Source organism: Homo sapiens, chromosome 21 (genome assembly GCF_000001405.40).
Source record: "Homo sapiens chromosome 21, GRCh38.p14 Primary Assembly".
Taxonomy (NCBI): Eukaryota; Metazoa; Chordata; class Mammalia; order Primates; family Hominidae; genus Homo; species Homo sapiens.
The window spans coordinates 44,057,792-44,075,740 of record NC_000021.9 but is presented as its reverse complement, the minus strand read 5'-3'; the positions used below and the strand labels follow the sequence as shown (position 1 = coordinate 44,075,740).

Sequence of the window (17,949 nt, the reverse complement as noted above, 5' to 3'; positions counted from 1 at the left end):
GCCAGGGCAGGAGGATCACTTTAGGCCAGGAGTTTGAGACCAGCCTGGGCAATACAGCGAGACTCCATCTCTACAAAAAATTAAAAAATTAGCCAAGTATGGTAGCACACACCTGTAGTCCCAGCTACCTGGGAGGGTGAGGCAAGAGGATCCCTTGAGCCCAGGAGGTCGAGGCTGCAGTGAGCCAAGATTGTGCCACTACACTCCAGTCTGGGCAACAGAGTGAGACCCTGTCTCTTAAAAAAAAAAAAAATCGTCAGGTCGTATTGTTAGAAAAACAGATCATCTGTAATTCAGAGAGACAGTGGTGCATTTGAACATGAGCTATAAAGTCCCTTAAGCCCAGGAGAAACTCAGCTACATTTCTGAAACTCCTTCCAATTTCTTCAACTATTTCTAATATTGCATTATGCTGTTAAAAGGTAAACTATCATGTGCTTTAATCCAGTCAGCTAACAATGGGTATAATTTTCCAAATGGTGAGTAATATGATTACTCTTAGAACTTCGGTTAAATGTGCCAACTTGCAAAGGACATTTTCATTACTGTCCACCTCACCACTCACACAGGTATATACAAAAAAGTACCTGTTTCTGGTCGCTCAGCTCCCAAACCTGCCAAAAGGTCAACTGTCCTGTTGAGATCTTCTGAGTTAGGTCCTTTCTCTGACACAAGTCCACATAGATAGCCCAAGGACTTTAACTGTTAAGATAAATCCACAATTTCAATTAATTTGCCGTAAGAGTCAGCAGGGAATTCAAGAATTTAAATATAAAAATTCAAATCCAGCTAAATTCTAGAAGAAATTTAGCTTTCCTACCCAATGACTCAAATCTGGATACAAAAATACATCCTACACAACAGCTCCCAGTGAGGCTTGGAGGGTGGGAATCCTCCGCTTCTGTCCTTCACCTCCCTGAGTTCCCCAGGCTACGCCTGCACCTGCATAAGCCCAGCCTACCTGCTGCACACACCAGCACAGCTCTGCCTGGTGAGCTGACATTTCAGCACCACCCTCGTGTCCCCCGACTCAGGGTACAGAGTCAATTTCACAGGAGCACAGCAAGTGCTTGCTGTCTGCTGACTACATCGACATGTGGTAGGGAACTATGACTTCTTTGGCTGCACCCAGACACCTTCTAGGGCCACTAAAGTGGATGCATCGTGATCTAAATGAGCAACACCTCTCCTCCAAACAGCAGACTTCCTCCGCCACCCAGGCATGGCCGCAGAGACAACGTGAGCATTCCACACTTGGGCAGGTAGGCACCTTTTCTGTGGCATAGCTCCATAGCCCCACAGTGTGGGCAATGTTTGAGTCGATCTGTGCCCGGTCACAGCAGCCTTCTATCCTCTGCAACACCTCCAGACAGCTCAGAAACACCCAGCAGTCCAGAGCACCAGGTGGGACAGAGACCTGTGGGGGTGCAAATGCGAACGTGTGAGGGGTGCTCCGGGACAGCTCTAGCTTGAACAAACCCACATGCTCTAGCTTGAACGTGCAAAACCCTCCATCCTTCAAGCAGCCACCTCATCTAACAGTTCTGTGATATGCAGAGCTACAGGAGAGAGAAAGGGGCAAAGAACACTAATCACCTACATTCACATGGGAAGAGAGAAGCAGTGTGACCTATATTCAAATGTGTTATCAGGTTTTATGTATAACTTTCAATTATTGTATTTTTGAAAACCTTATTAAGAAAAAGCCTCTGCAGGTCTAGATCTGAAAAATATATATAGAAAAAGAATTTTTTTTTAAAAAAAGGAAAAACCTAGAAAAAGACCAAATATGATCATTTACTCCAAGAGTGAGGATTGGCCACAGATTAGTGTCAAGAGGGGAGGGAAAACTAAGACCTCAAATGACTGCTTGGTCACATTTAAGAAAGATCACGTTCAACAGCAGAAACTGAATACCGAGTAGAAATATCACACGAGGAATTACAGTTCACTCTTCAGGCGTGATAAAGACAGTATATTTATGTTTGGGAAAAAGAGCTCCCTATTGCTCCCTATACACTGCAGTATTTACAGGTGAAACCCAATGTCTGTATTTGAAAAACGTCCCAGGGCAAGTGAACGAGGATGCAGATGAAGTAGAGGCTGGCCAGGTACCGCGCCTACTGTAACTGTTCATGGGTCCTACATGGGAATTATGTTATCCTCTCTGCTTCTGTATTTACTTGAGCCTTTCCACTTAAAAAACAAAAAAAAGAAAACACTATCAGAAAAGCAAAATCGCCTGCTGTATAAGATGCAGTTTTCCCCCACATTTTAGCACTTCTGAAATAGGAATGTTTCTCTTAATCAAGTGGCATCTTACACTTTTAAGTGGCAATGCTGACTTTTTCTCTGGTGGCACTGACTTCATGATGTGTCCTAGTTTTGGTGAAATGTGTTCACCTGTGCTCTTCAAATCACCAGTCAACAGGTGATGAGCTGCCAATGCCGGGGAAACTGACTCCCATAAGAACTCTTGCAAGGCACCCTGAGCACAAATAAAGGACCTGGAACCAACAAGGAAGAACCAAAGAGTGCCATCAAATGTTCCCATAAAAGCTAAAAAGCCCAACTTCTGAAAAATAAGATAAGCTACTTAAACCTTTTGGGAAAAAAAAATCAGTGTAGGTCAAAAACTGCATAATCGGAAGCCACTTTCATAAAGCTGCACAACTCTCTCACCCAAACATACCACACTGAGGGAAGGCACAGAAAAGCGGGGCAGCAGGAAGCAGCTCTGAGATCCTGGACAGAGCGTGTCCCTCCGATTGATGAGCGTCCTCATCAGTCAAACCACAGCAGGCCTGGAGCGGGCTGACCGCACCTTGCAGGCCCGCCTGGTTCCCAGGTGCCAGGAGATCTGGGATACTTTTCATCTCCCAAGACGCTACCACCATCAGTACCCACTGCGCAAAAGCTTCTGTAAACAGGCACCTCCCCTGGGCACACACTGGTGACAGAAAGACCTCCTAGGAGAGGCCGGGCGCGGTGGCTCACGCCTGTAATCTCAGCACGTTGGGAGGCCGAGGTGGGCAGATCACCTGAGGTCAGGAGTTTGAGACCAGCCTGACCAATATGATGAAACCCCATCTCTACTAAAAATACAAAAATTAGCCGGGTGTGGTGGCATGCACCTGTAATCCCAGCTACTCGAGAGGCTTAGACAGGAGAATCATTTGAACCCGGGAGGCGGAGGTTGCGGTGAGCCAAGATCATGCCATTGCACTCCAGCCTGGGCAACAATAGCGAAACACAAAACAAACAAACAAACAAACACCTCCTAGGAGACCACGAGAGACTCTTACAAAGCAGGAAGACGTACAGTGCTTTTGGTAAAGATGCATCCACAGAGAAGGGAGATAAAGCCCAGGAGCCACAGCAGCGGAGCCGCGGCAGAGGACGCTGGATGCAGAAGCAAGAGCAGCCAGGGCACGAGGGCCGCTCCGCGACCAGGCGCTGAACTGAGTCCGCAGGGAACAGCAGCAGCCGAGAGCTGAGGCGCCACCTGACAGCACAGGTGCACCCCAGAAAGGCTCCCAAATGATACCACCAAAATGCCAACAGTGGCATTAATTACTGCATGGCATGATTATAGAATAGTTCTTTGTATATTTTTTTCCTGCAAAGAGCAAGTCCCGCTTTGGTAAGCTTGAACGACAGTATTAAAAAAGTAGCAGCATCAGGTAGCGGCAGCTTTTCTGGGGTACAAACAACAAAATCCAGTGGCACCCATTGGCCACTGGCTGCTGAGACTTCACCTTCAACTTCCATCCTGAAGGAGGTGGGAGAGAGCAGGCAGGTCCTGCACACACCCACGCCAAGGAACAAGGGCAGGCTTTCACTGAATAACAGAAACCTGAAGGTGAGCTCGGCCACCCCTCCCTCTGGAACTCACACCTCCCAAAGTGCAAAGCCTCCCCCGGGCCTGCTCTGGTCTCCGCTGCGAGTTCTCACCGGCTCCATGCTCTAAGTGCCTTTATTTCCCAGGAGAATCACAGCTCCCTGTATTTCCTATCACAGATCATTTTAAAATTTCAGTTTTTATGGGGAAAAAAAGACATGCATGTGAATTTGGCATATGATGTGGCATACACAACCCTTTCTGCAGTGCCGCCTTGCAGAGCCGCCTGCCTCGTATGTTACTACTTACTGTGTGTGTCTCTTAGCTCCCACCCAAACCCCAGGTAACACCCCAAAGGGGGCCGAGCACTCTGCTTCTTCTCTATACTTTAGAGGGCCTGAAAGAGGTGGGCTCCACAGCAGCGAGACCTTCCACAGTAAGACATCTAAGACTTCCAGACATGTTAACGAAACAAATTTATTTAAAACCTAATTGCAGTGATACTTTTTCATTGCTTTGAAAAAACAAGTGGCAAAATGCATACAACAAGGTATGTGAAGGGCACAAACCCTAAATTTAGAGGTCGATGATTTTTACAAATGTAACCACCACCTAATCAAGAAATAAAATTATCCTAGAAGGTTCTCTCAAGTCCCTTTTCCCGGTCAAGATCCACCCCAAAGAGGCACCCGGCTCCTGACTTCGGCCACCATCAATTCCTTCTGGCTGATTTGTGAACTTCATATAATGAAATCACACAGCATGTCCTCCTTTGTGCATGGGGCTTCTTTAATTCCACACAGTATCTTTAAGATTCAACCTTGCTGAGTCTGTCGGCCTGTTCTTTTTCACTGCTGCTTATTAAACCTTTCTACAAGTTGGCCACAGTTTATTTATCCACTCCTATCAAGTGTCTGGGTTGTTTCCAGTGTTTGGCTACTATGGGTAAAGCTATTTGCAATGTTACCCCTGCCTCAACGGAGGGATGACTTCTCAGGGTCCGAAGACGCCCCCAGGCCCAAGTGCGCCAGGCTACTCACAGCAGAACACAGGCAGTGCCAGCACTCTTCTCCCACCAGCATCCCTGCAGCAGAGACGCAAGAGCTCGGGGGAAGGGGACAGAGAGTGCCAGAGCCACCCTGGCTTATTTTACCCATTAGAGTGCAGCTTGAGAATAAAAAACAAGAGTCTCACAAACTCTGGAAAAGAGCAATTGTTCTGCAGCCATGGCTTCATGGCTTTGAGTCGTCCAAACAAATGTCAGCCCCTTGCTCCTAAATGGTGGCCGACACAGAAAATGGGCACCTCAGCCAACAGCACGAAGGCCATGCCTCTATGGTGGCATCTGCCACCCAGCATGCCACAGCACCCAACACAACAAAGACCAAGCCTCCGCTCTGCCCTGAGAGCCTGAGACTGAATGGCAGAGCGTGCAGCTTGGTCACCTCACTCTGGAACCGGGTGGTGGCCTCACCGTCTCCAGAAAACTCACATTTCCCTAATGGGCCATCAGATACCTCTTGGCCATCTGGATATCATCTTTTGTGAATAACAGACTTCTTAAACAAATTCTTAATTTATATTAATTTTCCTTAAAGTCCCTCCTCCTCTCCTGATTGCTGTATTAGCAATGGCAAGTGCCATCTTGCCACTTCCAAGTATAAAATTAAAGGCATTCTTGTTCTTCTCTCTTTTGATACCCCTACCACTTGAGTGCAACCCACACACTGGAAGGTACATGAGTCCTAGGTGAACGCCTGCTATGCCTCCCGTGAAGGCAGCTCCCGCTGGAACTCCCTGCCAGTCACCAGCCCCTCCACCTGCCAGAGAGCTCACAGCAGACTGGTGTAGCTTCACCGTGAACTTCAGACACAAGGAATCAAAAAGTATGCCCTCTCTTATCGCTTCAACCCGGGAGGCAGAGGTTGCAGTGAGCCAAGATCACGCCACTGCACTCCAGCCTGGGAAACAGAGCAAGACTCCATCTCAGAAAAAAAAAAAAAGTATGCCTTCTCTTGTGTCTAACTTCTTTAGCTCAACTTCAGGTTGGTTAGAGTCATCCACTACGACCCATTCACGTTCATCACTGTACCCTAGCACACTACAGGGCCACGGTGCAACGTTGTCATCCCTTGGACAAGATGAACATTTGAGTTCTTCCCCGTTTGCAGCTCCAATGACTCACGGGTGCCACAGGTATCTCTGTGTACTTGCCTTCTGATGCATGTGTGTGTGCATGTATCTGTACACACCAGGGGTGGATGTGCTGGGTCACGGGGCATGTGTTGTAATGGCGATACCCATTAGATATCGCAAACAGCCTTCCAAAGTGGTCCCAGTGATGCACACTACCATCAGTGAATGAGCGCCAGCATCTCCACCCTCCCACTGATACCCGAGGAAAGCCTTTCCATCCTGGCCATTCTGGTGGTGTGTGCTGGTACTTCATTAATAATGGCTTCAGTTTGCATTTTGCTATGATTCATGAGACTGAGCCCCTTTTCATGTTTATCGGCCATTTGGATTTCCTCTCTTGCCTGTTTTTCTACTGGTTTGTCAGTCTTTCTGCATTGATGTATGTGAGTTCTTCACAGTACGCCCTGGAGTAAGGGCCCTTTCTTGTCTATATATACTGGTTGTACTCTTCCAAGCTGCGGAGGGCCTTTTCACTCCCTTCAGAGTACCTTTCAGTGAAGAGAAGCACTGATGTTTACGTAGTCTAATGCAGGACCCTCTTCCTTCACGGCTGGTGCATAACCATAAAGGTTTCATGTCCTATTTAAGGAATATTTGCCAACCTTAAGGTCCCAAAGACATTTTCCCAAGTTATCTTCAAGAGTTTTCTTATTTTATTTTTCATGTTTAGATCAAAACTCCACCTGGAATTAATTTTGTTTATGGGGTGAGATCAAGATTTGTTTTTATATATGGATATCCAGTGGACCCAGAACCATCAATTCACTAAATTTTTCTTGAACCTATTTATTTAAAATCTGCCGGCTGGGTGCAATAGCTCACGCCTGTAATCCTGGCACTTCGGGAGGCTGAGGAGGGTAGATCACTTGCGCTCAGGAGTTCAAGACCAGCCTGGGCAACATAGTGAAACCCCATCTCTGCCAAAAAATACAAAAATTAGCCGGGCATGGTGGTGCGCACCTGTAATCCTGGCTACTTGACTGGCTGAGGCAGGAGAATTGCCTGAACCCTGGAGGCGGAGGCTACAATGAGCCAAGATCACACCACTGTACTCCAGCCTGGGCAACAGAGTGTTTCAAATAATAATAATAAAAAATAAAATCTACCTCAACTGCCTTTTGGAACTCCGTCTTTTCCCTTGGACTATGGCAGAAGTTTCCAAACTCTTCACCTCTCTCTGCCTCTCTCTGCCCTCTGCCTCACTAGGTCCTAACCTTTCATGGCTCCCTACTGGCTACAGAACAAAGGGCAAGCTTCAACGTGACACACAAAGAACTTCAGAATTTCCCTTCATTGCCCCCAAAGCCTGCCTCACCCCTGAAGTTCTAGCAAGACCAGGCTCCTCCAGAGCACCTTCAATAACACCATCTTCTCCACCTGAAACGCACTCTCCCGCGCCACCAGCAGTCACATCTACCTGGTGAGTTCTTACTCCCCCTACTCATTCCTTAGCACGTAAGCTTCATAAGGCCAGGAATTCTATTTCACTCTCTGCTGAAAATACAGTGCCTACCACAATGGTTGGCACAAAACAGAAGCTCAATGAAGATCTGATAAGTGAATGAGTCCTTTTTTTTTTTTTTTTGAGACGGAGTCTCACTCTTTTGCCCAGTTGGAGTGCAGTGGCATGATCTCGGCTCACTGCAACCTCTGCCTCCCAGGTTCAAGCAATTCTCCCGCCCCAGCCTCCCGAGTAGCTGGGATTACAGGCGCCTGCCATCACGCCCAGCTAATTTTTGTATTTTTAGTAGAGACAGGGTTTCACCATATTGGCCAGGCTGGTCTGGAACTCCTGACCTCATGATCCGCCCACCTCGACCTCCCAAAGTGCCAGGATTACAGGCTTGAGCCACTGTGCCCAGCCTGAATGAATCTTTTTAATGGAGTTCACATAGGGCCTCCTCTAGAAAGCTTCCCTAGCACCTATCAGGCACCTGCAAATGTTTACCAAGCTGACCTGAGGCATCCGGCAAAGCTGCCTTTCCCTCCCTTACAGTCCCCTGTGTGCAGACAACACTTCGTCACTACTTGGACACTGTGCTGATGACCCGTGGCACCTCATGCCGGTAGGTGGGGCCCTTTCCTCTTCATTTATGTGCACCCCCATCCCTGTCTCCCACAGTGCCTGGCAGGCAAGGAAACGTTTCTTGAATGATTCTTGACAGTCCTCTCTTTCCTTTTGTCCAGTGAGCCATCAGTTCTTCTTCAGCAACAGCTCTCACAACCACCCCTCCTCCTTCAATCCAGCTCCTCCCCCTCATGGCTCATGGGTGCACAAGATCCTCCACCTACACATGAGAGCACCCACCCAGCAGGGTGTCGGGTACACTGTAAGCCCTCAGCAAACACAATCTACATTCCCACACTACATCTCTGCCTTTGTCCTCTGCCAGGCCTGCACCTCAGAATACCGATCCCAGCTGGCCAGCTTTGACTGTAAACCTTCTTCTTCCTCTGGTTCAACCTGCAGGTTGGCCACACACAGCCTCTGTTCACAAACCGGCCAGCTAACTCCGACGGCGTCCCATGCACGGTTCCTCCGTGCCACAGGCTAGGCTGGTGACTCCCCTGGGGTCTGGAGGAGTCCTGACCCTGCTAGGCCCACACGGTCTGTTACATAACCAGCAGCTAAGGTGATAAAAGGTCAAACGCTGAATGAAACACATTCCAAACCCCCCCAAAAAATCACTTGGGCAATCATTGTAACAAACACATTATGGCCTTCAAGAAAGTATCTTCCCCGTTCTTCTAATTTGGCGACAAAATATATAAGTATCATACTTTTTTCTTACCAAAGGTGCAGGAAAACAGGCATCACTAGCATGACTGAAAATGGGAAGACCTTTCTGGAGGACAAATTAACAACATATAGCTTTAAAAACATGTCTATCTTCGACCTTCCAATTCTACTTGTATGAATTTACACACAAAGATGTATGTATAAGGATACAAACTGCTGCAATTGCAAAGAATTTTGAAGAATTCAAATGTCCAAATAGGAGCAAGGAAATAACTGCAGTTCATCTATACATAAGAAGGCCATGGACAAAAAAAGGGAACCTCTTCCTGCTAGCAAAAGCAACGACATTTTCTTCGTATATTTGTCTGTTATTTTCCAAATTTACATAAAGAAAACATTCAACTTTTGTAAATGGAGGGAAAATTAGAAATTGTTACAGAAAAAAAAAGGAAATACTCTGTCAAGGAGGATCCTGAACTCACGCAGAACTGGCCTCACTTCACGGGTGTTACCGCTCACCCCAGCAGCCAGCTGTGCAAGGTAGGCACAATCTCCATTCTTAACACATTTTCCATTAAGGGAGTGCGCAAGGCTAGTAAGCAGCACCCACAGGGCAGAGGCCTCTATCCGGCCGTCTTGCTCCCCTCCTCAGCCCCCGTCGCCCCTGGAGTGTGGATCAAGCCCTACTACAGAGCAGGGCTAGTTTCCATCACAGCTGGCCACTTCGTTGCCTCCTATTCTCTTTAAATAAATGAGGTACTTCAAATCAACTGGTAAAGCAACCAGGATGTTAGCAGGACATGTTTTATAAGCCACCCACTCGAAAGTGGGACAGTGGGATCTGCAACTGACAGTGGCACACCTACCCCCTGGCCTCTGCTCAACTGTAGCCCTAAAACCTGACTCTCACCAAAAAATCCTAACAACTAGACTGGAGTAAAAACTACTGCACAAGAGAGAAAAACACAGCCACGGGCAGCTCAGACCTGTAATCCCAGCACTTTGGGAGGGGAGCAGGGAAGATCACTTGAGCCCGGAAGTTCCAGACCAGCCTGGGCGACACAGTGAGACACTCATCTCTACCAAAAAATTTAAAAATTTAGAAAAAAGGAGAGAAAGAGAAACACTTCTGACGTGAAGTTACCAGCGAAGCCCTCTAAGTAAACAGTGTGAATCTCAGTGTTGATCAAACACAGGTGCAAAGTGTGCAAAGAGGATTGTGTGGGCTTCAACACAAGCGACAAGGGAGGCTGTCCTCTCTGGCCTGGGAAGCCGACAGGCACAGCGCATGTAAGGAGGCGCAGCCAGCTGTGTGCATCAGAAGATGACGAAACAGGAAGCGGGTTCTTAGAAGGAAAGAGACTGACAGACTGTGAGAAAGTCATCAGTGGGTGACACGTCCTTGCCTCAAATCCAGCATTCACCTTTGGCCACCTCCTCTCACTGGAGATGCAGAACTCAACCGTGCAAAGAGGTGCAATAGCTATGACTAAAAGCAATGGGGCAGCTTCCACTCAAGGAAAGGCCAAGGGGACAACAACTTCATTCAGCAAAGCAAAGGGCTCGGAAAATACACCACGGATAAGAGGCTCCTCACACGATACAAAGCCTTGAAAATACCTGTGACTTCCCGGCCCTGCAGACGAGCACCTAGAGGAGCCAACAGACCCCGTATGGCTCCTGTGAACCCCGACGCTACAAGGGAACTCCAGAGCCCACACCCTCTATTACTTACACATTTCTCCTTCCAGCCACAAGGTAATAACAAAACTAACAGCCCTCTCCAATCAGCCTCCTGGGGTCGTCTCACTCAGAAGACATCATGTCTGAATCATTTGGACTTGAATACTTCAATTTTCCCCCCTCCCGGCTAGTAAGACAAAAATCTCAACATCAGGTGAAATCCCTAGGTACACATGAACAGAGAGCCCGGCTCTAGGAGTGAATGGTTCCCTCACAGCCCCGTCCCCAACCTGCAGTTAGGGCTGAGCAACCCAGGCAGAGTCTCTAAATCCAGGTGATTACAGGCAGCCCAGAGGGTCATTTCGAGGTGGAAAATGTTTCTTTTCCTCATTTGCTTCATTAGGTGAAGAAAAATCATTTGATAAAAATTCTTAAGTTTCTGAGTTTGTGACTTGGGCTAGGTACTAATGAGCTTAGCTCTGAAATAAGAACTTCTCCTTTTGAAATTAACTAAAATATATTTCTCTTCATTAATTAAAGTTTAAATCTCTTAAAATTATTTTAAACCAAGCACACAAAAATAAGTTCCTATATTATGAAACACCGTCCCCATCAATGGCTTATACTCTTCAGACCTAATCACTTCCAGACTCCGTTTTCTTGTTTACAAAACAGCATCAGAGACCACTCACTCAGGAGATCTTAACCAGGGGATGGGTGGCAGGGATGTACACAAATCCTCAGGTCGTAAGTATCATTTTGTGTGTGTGTGAATTGTTTTGGGTAAAGAGGACCCTGAAACAAGAATCACCAGACTAGATACGGTCTCTACAGTCCTTTCATCTCACTACAATGTCCGTGGTTCTATGGACAGTAAGAGTTCAGTGCTTGGGTGAATTTATCTCTAAGGGCAAATGTTTTACTAACTACATTCTCACACTCACACACACACACACACACACACACACACACACACATATTTATGACATATCTTCCATGAAGCTCCGTACTACTAATCAATGGGGCACAGCCTGCTGTGTGTCACTCACATTGCTACCTGCATGGCCATGTGCAAAACTATTTATCTGAAAAGACAAATAAATAAATGTCTACATGACATAAGTGTCTGAAATAAAATAAATGTCTACATGCAAAATCTAGCTCTGCGTGTCCCTCAGGTGAGTGACTCTTCCCCGTGGAGACAGCTCACGCAGCAGCACAGGCCGCAGTCAGCCAGTGAGCTTCACTGAGAAGCTCATCTAAGAGGCTTGCTCTGGACCGGCACAAACTCCAGCATGTTGAGAACAGAGTTCTATTTTTGAGCAATTTATCAACGTAAAAAGTAACTAAGCAAACAATATACTGAAAATTAAAGGCATTCAGAAAAGAAAACCCTTTCTTAAGCACAAACAGTTCAATGCCTGGGATCTCAAGGTTCAGAGATTTCTGCTGGAACAATCAAGAAACGGGTAAATTGGGAAAACAGCCGACTCACTTCTAAGAGCTTCAGTTCCTGCACGCAGTTGTGCAGCAGCTCTAGGGCGCGCTGGGCCACCTCCCACGGCCTCTGCAGGAAGAGCAGCAAGGTGCACTGGCGAGAGAACAGGTAACTGCGCAGATCTAACAGGGTGGCTTCTCGCCTCTGGATCGATTCCCGCTTCTCCATATCTATGGGTTTTCGGAGGATCAATCCGTTCCAGCTCTTCACTGGCTGGCAGAAAAAAGTCAGCCAGTTGGCACCATCTAAACAAACACACATCATGAAAGGTGCTGATTGCAGGTACTTCACCTTCCTGAGCTTCCTGCTCAGGCTGAGGATGGTGGGCAAACAGGCAGCTTCATAACCAGTTTTTCTATGAACACTGGCCCACCCCCTGTGGTCTAGTGATGCATTCGGCTCCCAGCACTGACAGCCGAGCTGAGGGTAACGTGACCCAGGCAACAAGGCACACCACCCTACCATGCCCAGAAAGTCATGGGCGGGAGCTGAACAGGTTGGGAAGTCACCCAGAGACAGACAGGCTACATGGTTAGGGGAGCTCAGGCTCTGTCTCAGGCCGAGGGAGGGCTCTAGTCTTAGGCTGCAGCGGGGCTGGGCTTCCTTATCTTTACCTGTGGGCTGGAGTGCAGCCTGCTCTGACCATCCTGGTGTTTTTTGGTCTTCCTTAGATTACATATTCCTTCCTTATTTCCCTAACTCAACCACGTCACGTCCCTGAGTCAAGCTCCTGGAGGAAGGGACAGGGAGGACTTGGTAGCAGCACATAGAAGGAAAAAGAATTACTGCTTGTCGAAAATTTCAGCAAGGCTCCCAGAGGTTTACTTACATCCCTAAGACTCAAATATGATCTTAAAATAAGCATAACAATGTATAATAACAAGTCCATCAATCATTATTGAAAAAAATCTTTGAATCTATTTTTCTCACTTCAACAGAGAGGTGTCATAACCAGTTCATTCCTACGTGGCATCCTGGCATGGTTAAACGCTCCCTTCACTGACGTGAGCTTCTCCTCAGACCCGGGGAGCGCATAGTGGTGTGGTGTGGACCTGCCAGCCCAGCCCCTGCACCAGCATCCTCAGGGCTATTGGAGCACCCAGCAGTGTGGAGTGGACCCGCTGGCCCAGCCCCTGCACCAGCATCCTCAGGGCTATTGGAGCACCCAGCAGTGTGGAGTGGACCCAGCCCTGTACCAGCCCAGCCCTGTACCAGCAGTTCCCTTGGCTAGGCTCCCCTCCCACAGGATTCTCACGGGGCACTCCCACATTTCAGTCAGGCCTCTGTGCCAGTGCCGCCCCCACAGGGAGGCCACTCCAGTGCCCTATCTAAGCTCCAATGGCACATACTGCCCCATCTCTCACCTGAGCCCCTTTCTACGGCCCAAACTTACTATTATGGACAGCAAGTGATAGATTTACTTTTCTGTGCCTGTTTCCCCTTCATGTAAGCATCATAAAAAAAGGGATTCTGCTTTATTCCTCCCTGTATTTAGAACAGTGCCTGGCACATGGTGGTCCCTCAGTAAGTATTTGTTGAATGAAAGAACAAAAACGAACCATCTTATTCAGTGGCAAAATTTGGTCCAGGCTTACTTTTGGATTTTAAATTGCCCCAAATTTTAAAACTGAGAGAAAAAACCAAATAAATTATGTCAAATATAAGAAATATGTAAGATATTTCAGCCTTGAAGGCTCCTTCTCACATGCACTGACATCCATTCAGGTGCCTGGTCCCTGACGCTGCCCAGCACCTATTCTGCTGCCAGGGACCATATGGTCTTTACCTTATAAATAACACTTATTTACTCAATGTTGTGTATATGGCATCACAAGCACATGGACCTGTGATTACCAGCCTGCCTGAGGCTAACAAATGCCCTCAGTTAGAATGTATAGGTTAAACGCAGCTTTTAAAGCTCCTATGATATGACCTCAAGGTTGTTAACCTGGTCATCTCATGGTAATTAGAAACTGTGATTGGCAGTTTTAGATTTCTCGATTAAAAACCTAAATAAACAGATTAAGTTCTAGGCATTCTTTCAAAGGAGTTCTCCATGAAAAGACTGAGAATTATTCTATTTGGTGCTCAGTGTAAATATTTTAATATTTTCAACTAATGTATGCACCAGTTATTGCCATTTCTTTATTAAATTCAAACGTTTTTTGCTAAATAAATCTATTTTTTAAAAAAATGTAAGATATTTAAAAAATACAGGCCAGGTGCGGTGGCTCACGCCTGTAATCCCAGCACTTTGGGAGGCTGAGGCGGGCGAATCACGAGGTTAAGAGATCGAGACCAGCCTGGCCAACAAGGTGAAACCCCAACTCTACTAAAAATAAAAAAATTGGCCAGGCGCAGTGGCTCACGCCTGTAATCCCAGCACTTTGGGAGGCTGAGGTGGGCAGATCACGAGGAGATCGAGACCATCCTGGCTAACACGGTGAAACCCCGTCTCTACTAAAAATACAAAAAAAAATTAGCCGGGCTTGGTGGCGGGCACCTGTAGTCGCAGCTACTCAGGAGGCTGAGGCAGGAGAATGGCGTGAACCCGGGAGGCGGAGGTTGCAGTGAGCCGAGATGGCGCCACTGCACTCCAGCCTGGGCTACAGAGCAAGACTCCGTCTCAAAAAATAAAATAAAATTAAATTAAATTAAAATTAAAATAAATAAATAAATTAGCTGGGCGTGGTGGTGCGCACCTGTAGTCCCAGCTATTTGGGAGGCTGAGGCAAGAGAATCGCTTGAAATCAGGAGGAGAAGGTTGCAGTGAGCCAAGATCACACCACTGCACTCCAGCCTGGCAACAAAGCAAGACTCCGTCTCAAAAAAAAAGTGTGTGTGTGTGTGTGTGTGTGTGTGTGTGTATGTATGTATGTATAGGCTGGGCATGGTGGCTCACAACTATAATCCCAGCACTTTGGGAAGCCGAGGCAAGAGGATCACTTGGGGCCAGGAGTTCGAGACCAGCCTGGCCAACATGGTGAAACCCCGTTTCTACTAAAAATATAGAAATTAGCCAGGTATGGTGGCATGCACCTGTAATCCCAGCTACTCAGGAGGCTTAGGCACGAAAATCGCTTGAACCCTGGAGGCAGAGGTTGCAGTGGGCCAAGATCACACCACTGCCCTCCAGCCTGGGGGACAGAGTGAGACACTGTCTCAAAAATAAATAAATAGATATGTTTGTATAATATGGACACATAAGGCCGGGCATGGTGGCTCACACCTGCAATCCCAGCACTTTGGGAGGCTGAGGCGGATCACGAGGTCAGGAGATCGAGACCATCCTGGCTAACATGGTGAAAACCCGTCTCTACTAAAAATACAAAACATTAGCCAGGCGTGGTGGCAGGCGCCTGTAGTCCCAGTCCCACTGCTGAGGCAGGAGAATGGCATGAATGGCATGAACCCGGGAGGCAAAGCTTGCAGTGAGCCGAGATTGTGCCACTGCACTCCAGCCTGGGCAACAGTGCAAGACTCCATTTCAAAAAAAAAAAAAAAAAAGACACATAAAATATAAGAAATAGAAGTGTTTTTTTATTTTATTTTTTTACTTAGTAAACACTTTGCTTTGGTTCTGTGTCTATACTGGCATCTCAGGAGAGTGAGATATCCAGACCTGATCTTCAGAAGCACTATGAGCCAGTATCCATCGGCGCCACTGATGAGTTCCAGAGTGAGGACAGTGCTCACAGCTAGAACTGACCGTCCCCACACTTCATCTCCCTCCAGGTTCTCCTGCTGACACCAGGGCTCCTCAAAATTACTCCTTCCTTCACACATGGTGACAAGGGTTCTCAAAAAGAACACCTGGCAGAGATGCCCACTACAGCACTGCTTGTGGTGGCAAGAAGCATAAAAGAACCCAATGTCCAACACCAGGTAATGGAATCAAGCCAGGAATACCAATTGTAACAAAAACAACTCCAAACCCCACCTGCTAACCTGGAGAGATGCCCAGGATGGGCTGTGAGTAACAAAAAGGAGCGACAGAGAAACAGCTATATAACGTGGTATCACTTTCATCAAAATAAGTATCAGCGAAAAACACTGAGGACAATAACCAATGTTTCTCTCTGTGTATGGTTTCACTGTGCTAATTCTTTAATTGTAAAGGAGCTTAAGATATTATTTAAAAGTGCAAAAGAAAGATGAACACCCAAGGGCATTTTATAAGTTCACAGCAATGAGCACTCGAGCATTCCAAAGATAACCCCTGGATGGAAGGCAAAGGGACGTCCACTCTGATTCTAACGAGGGACAGAATCGAAGCATCACCAGCAGGCCACTGAGTTGTGGAAAGGACATTTTATACCTGGAAAACAGTTTTTTTAAATTATTATTATTTTTGTTACTTAAGATTCTTCTAAAAGTGAAAATGACTAATTCTTAATTCTCATTTCATTTCCTCTAGGAATCACGAGAATATATCCGATATAATGTGTATAAAGACAACAACAAAACATGCGTACTCCTGAGGTAAATAAATGGCTGCTTCAAGCCTATCTGAAGTTGGAGAAAGCCACACTAAGAAAAGCATGCGTTACTGAAGTGCCACTACTCACCCCCGGCCCCGAAGTTGACCACATACTGAGAGAAGAGGGCGTCCAGTTCGTCGTACTGCACCAGGGCGTCCTCGAACTGCTGCAGCATCTCGAAAACAAAGGCAAGCTCCTCCTATTCGCCCAAGATACGTTTTTTAAAAAAACAAAAACATAAATCAATGTATAGAAGAAACAGTATGTAGCCATTAAACGACAGAGAAAGGCACGCAGCACTATGAATAATGTCTACGCTCCGCTAAGTAACAACCAATGTGACGACCGCATATGTCAACATTCACGCATGCACAAGAAGCTAGGAAAAGCTAAGGTAATTTCTGAACCCTCCCCGACCTATCGGCAGCACCAGATATAACTGGTCACCCCCCTGTCCTTGGGATGTTTCCTGCTGTCCAGGACCTGGCCACCTGCTCCCCTCGCCCCTCACTGTGGCTCCCTCTGGTCAGACGGCTGGTTCCTCTCGCTCCCCGAGGCTCTCTGCTGGAGGCCGCAGGGCTCCGCCCTTGGACTTCCCTGTCTACACTCACTATTCCCTCTCCATGACGGAGCCCATCTACACAGCATGACCACCACACATTCAGGACTCCAGCTCAGACCTGACTCTGGCTCCAATGGCAGGCACAGCACGCTTGTGTGGATGCCTAACAGACAGCTCAGGCTTACACATGGAAACCTGAACCCCAACCTTTCCCACAAAGTGCTCCACCCACGGTCTTCCCCATTTCAGTCAGCGACTGCTCATCACATTCAAGAGACTCCTAAATCCTTTCGAGACATCCCCAGGCCCTGCAAAATCTATGTCCCCCACCCCCACCCCTTCCCAGCACCAGCCCTCTGGCCTCACTCAGCTCCACCACCAAGGCCTCCTCACCGCTGCTCACGTGTGCGTGGCAGGGAGCTGCCTCGGGACCTGTGCGCTGCCCCACTCCATGGCCTGGAACACCTCCTCTTCCTCTATACACCCACATGGCTTGCTCTCCAAACTCCTTCAGCTCTGGCTAAGTCCCCAGCCCAGTCAGGCCTTTCCTCCTCCTGACCCGCACAGCACCCCACACCATCTCTGCCTTGTGCCTCTCTCTCGCCCTAGCATATGCGTCACTTCCTTTCCTGTATCTCCTCCACTGTCACACAAGCTCACAAAAAACTGTACACTGACGGCGTCCCAGCATCAAGGAGGGCCTGGCACCTGTCCGTGCTCAGTAACCTTTGTTGAATGAGAAAATGAAAAGAGAGGGCAACAGGTGATTGCCTTCTGATCTCCATTACTGCACATTAAAAAGTAAAGACCAGGAGGATGTGCACGCACATAAACCTCCCCTGACATGGTCAGGTCTTTGGAATCCAGTTCCACCCCATGTATTTGTGGACATTATTCCCAGACCCCTAAGGGCCCACCCAGGTCCCACTCACTAGGTGAGAACTGAGA

The 17,949-nt window shown here is 47.5% G+C and overlaps 1 protein-coding gene across 25 annotated transcripts in view, besides 2 other annotated features; it reads right to left on the bottom strand.

The window, feature by feature from the left end:
* The window catches only part of TRAPPC10 (trafficking protein particle complex subunit 10), a 94,244-nt gene that overhangs the window by 30,812 nt on the left and 45,483 nt on the right, over positions 1–17,949 (bottom strand). For 18 of the 25 annotated variants that reach the window (XM_011529714.3, XM_011529715.3, NM_003274.5 and 15 more), the window contains 4 exons: positions 16,527–16,638; positions 11,956–12,203; positions 1,271–1,417; positions 588–702 (listed from right to left, as the gene is read on the bottom strand). In XM_011529714.3, coding sequence (XP_011528016.1) covers positions 588–702; positions 1,271–1,417; positions 11,956–12,203; positions 16,527–16,638 — 622 coding nt within the window. Of the gene's footprint in view, positions 1–587; positions 703–1,270; positions 1,418–11,955; positions 12,204–12,572; positions 12,700–16,526; positions 16,639–17,949 lie in introns of those variants that run through there. The other 7 variants (XM_011529716.3, XM_017028454.3, XM_011529719.3 and 4 more) reach the window with 5 other exon arrangements.
* Positions 7,944–8,486: an enhancer, noted in NCBI's record as "H3K27ac-H3K4me1 hESC enhancer chr21:45487136-45487678 (GRCh37/hg19 assembly coordinates)". NCBI's record gives its function as "activates a minimal SCP1, AML or CMV promoter by ChIP-STARR-seq in primed H9 embryonic stem cells {active_cell/tissue: H9 hESC(primed)}" and the evidence as "EXISTENCE:reporter gene assay evidence [ECO:0000049][PMID:30033119]".
* Positions 10,041–10,090: an enhancer, noted in NCBI's record as "active region_18562". NCBI's record gives its function as "activates an Ori minimal core promoter by ATAC-STARR-seq in GM12878 lymphoblastoid cells {active_cell/tissue: GM12878}" and the evidence as "EXISTENCE:reporter gene assay evidence [ECO:0000049][PMID:35858748]".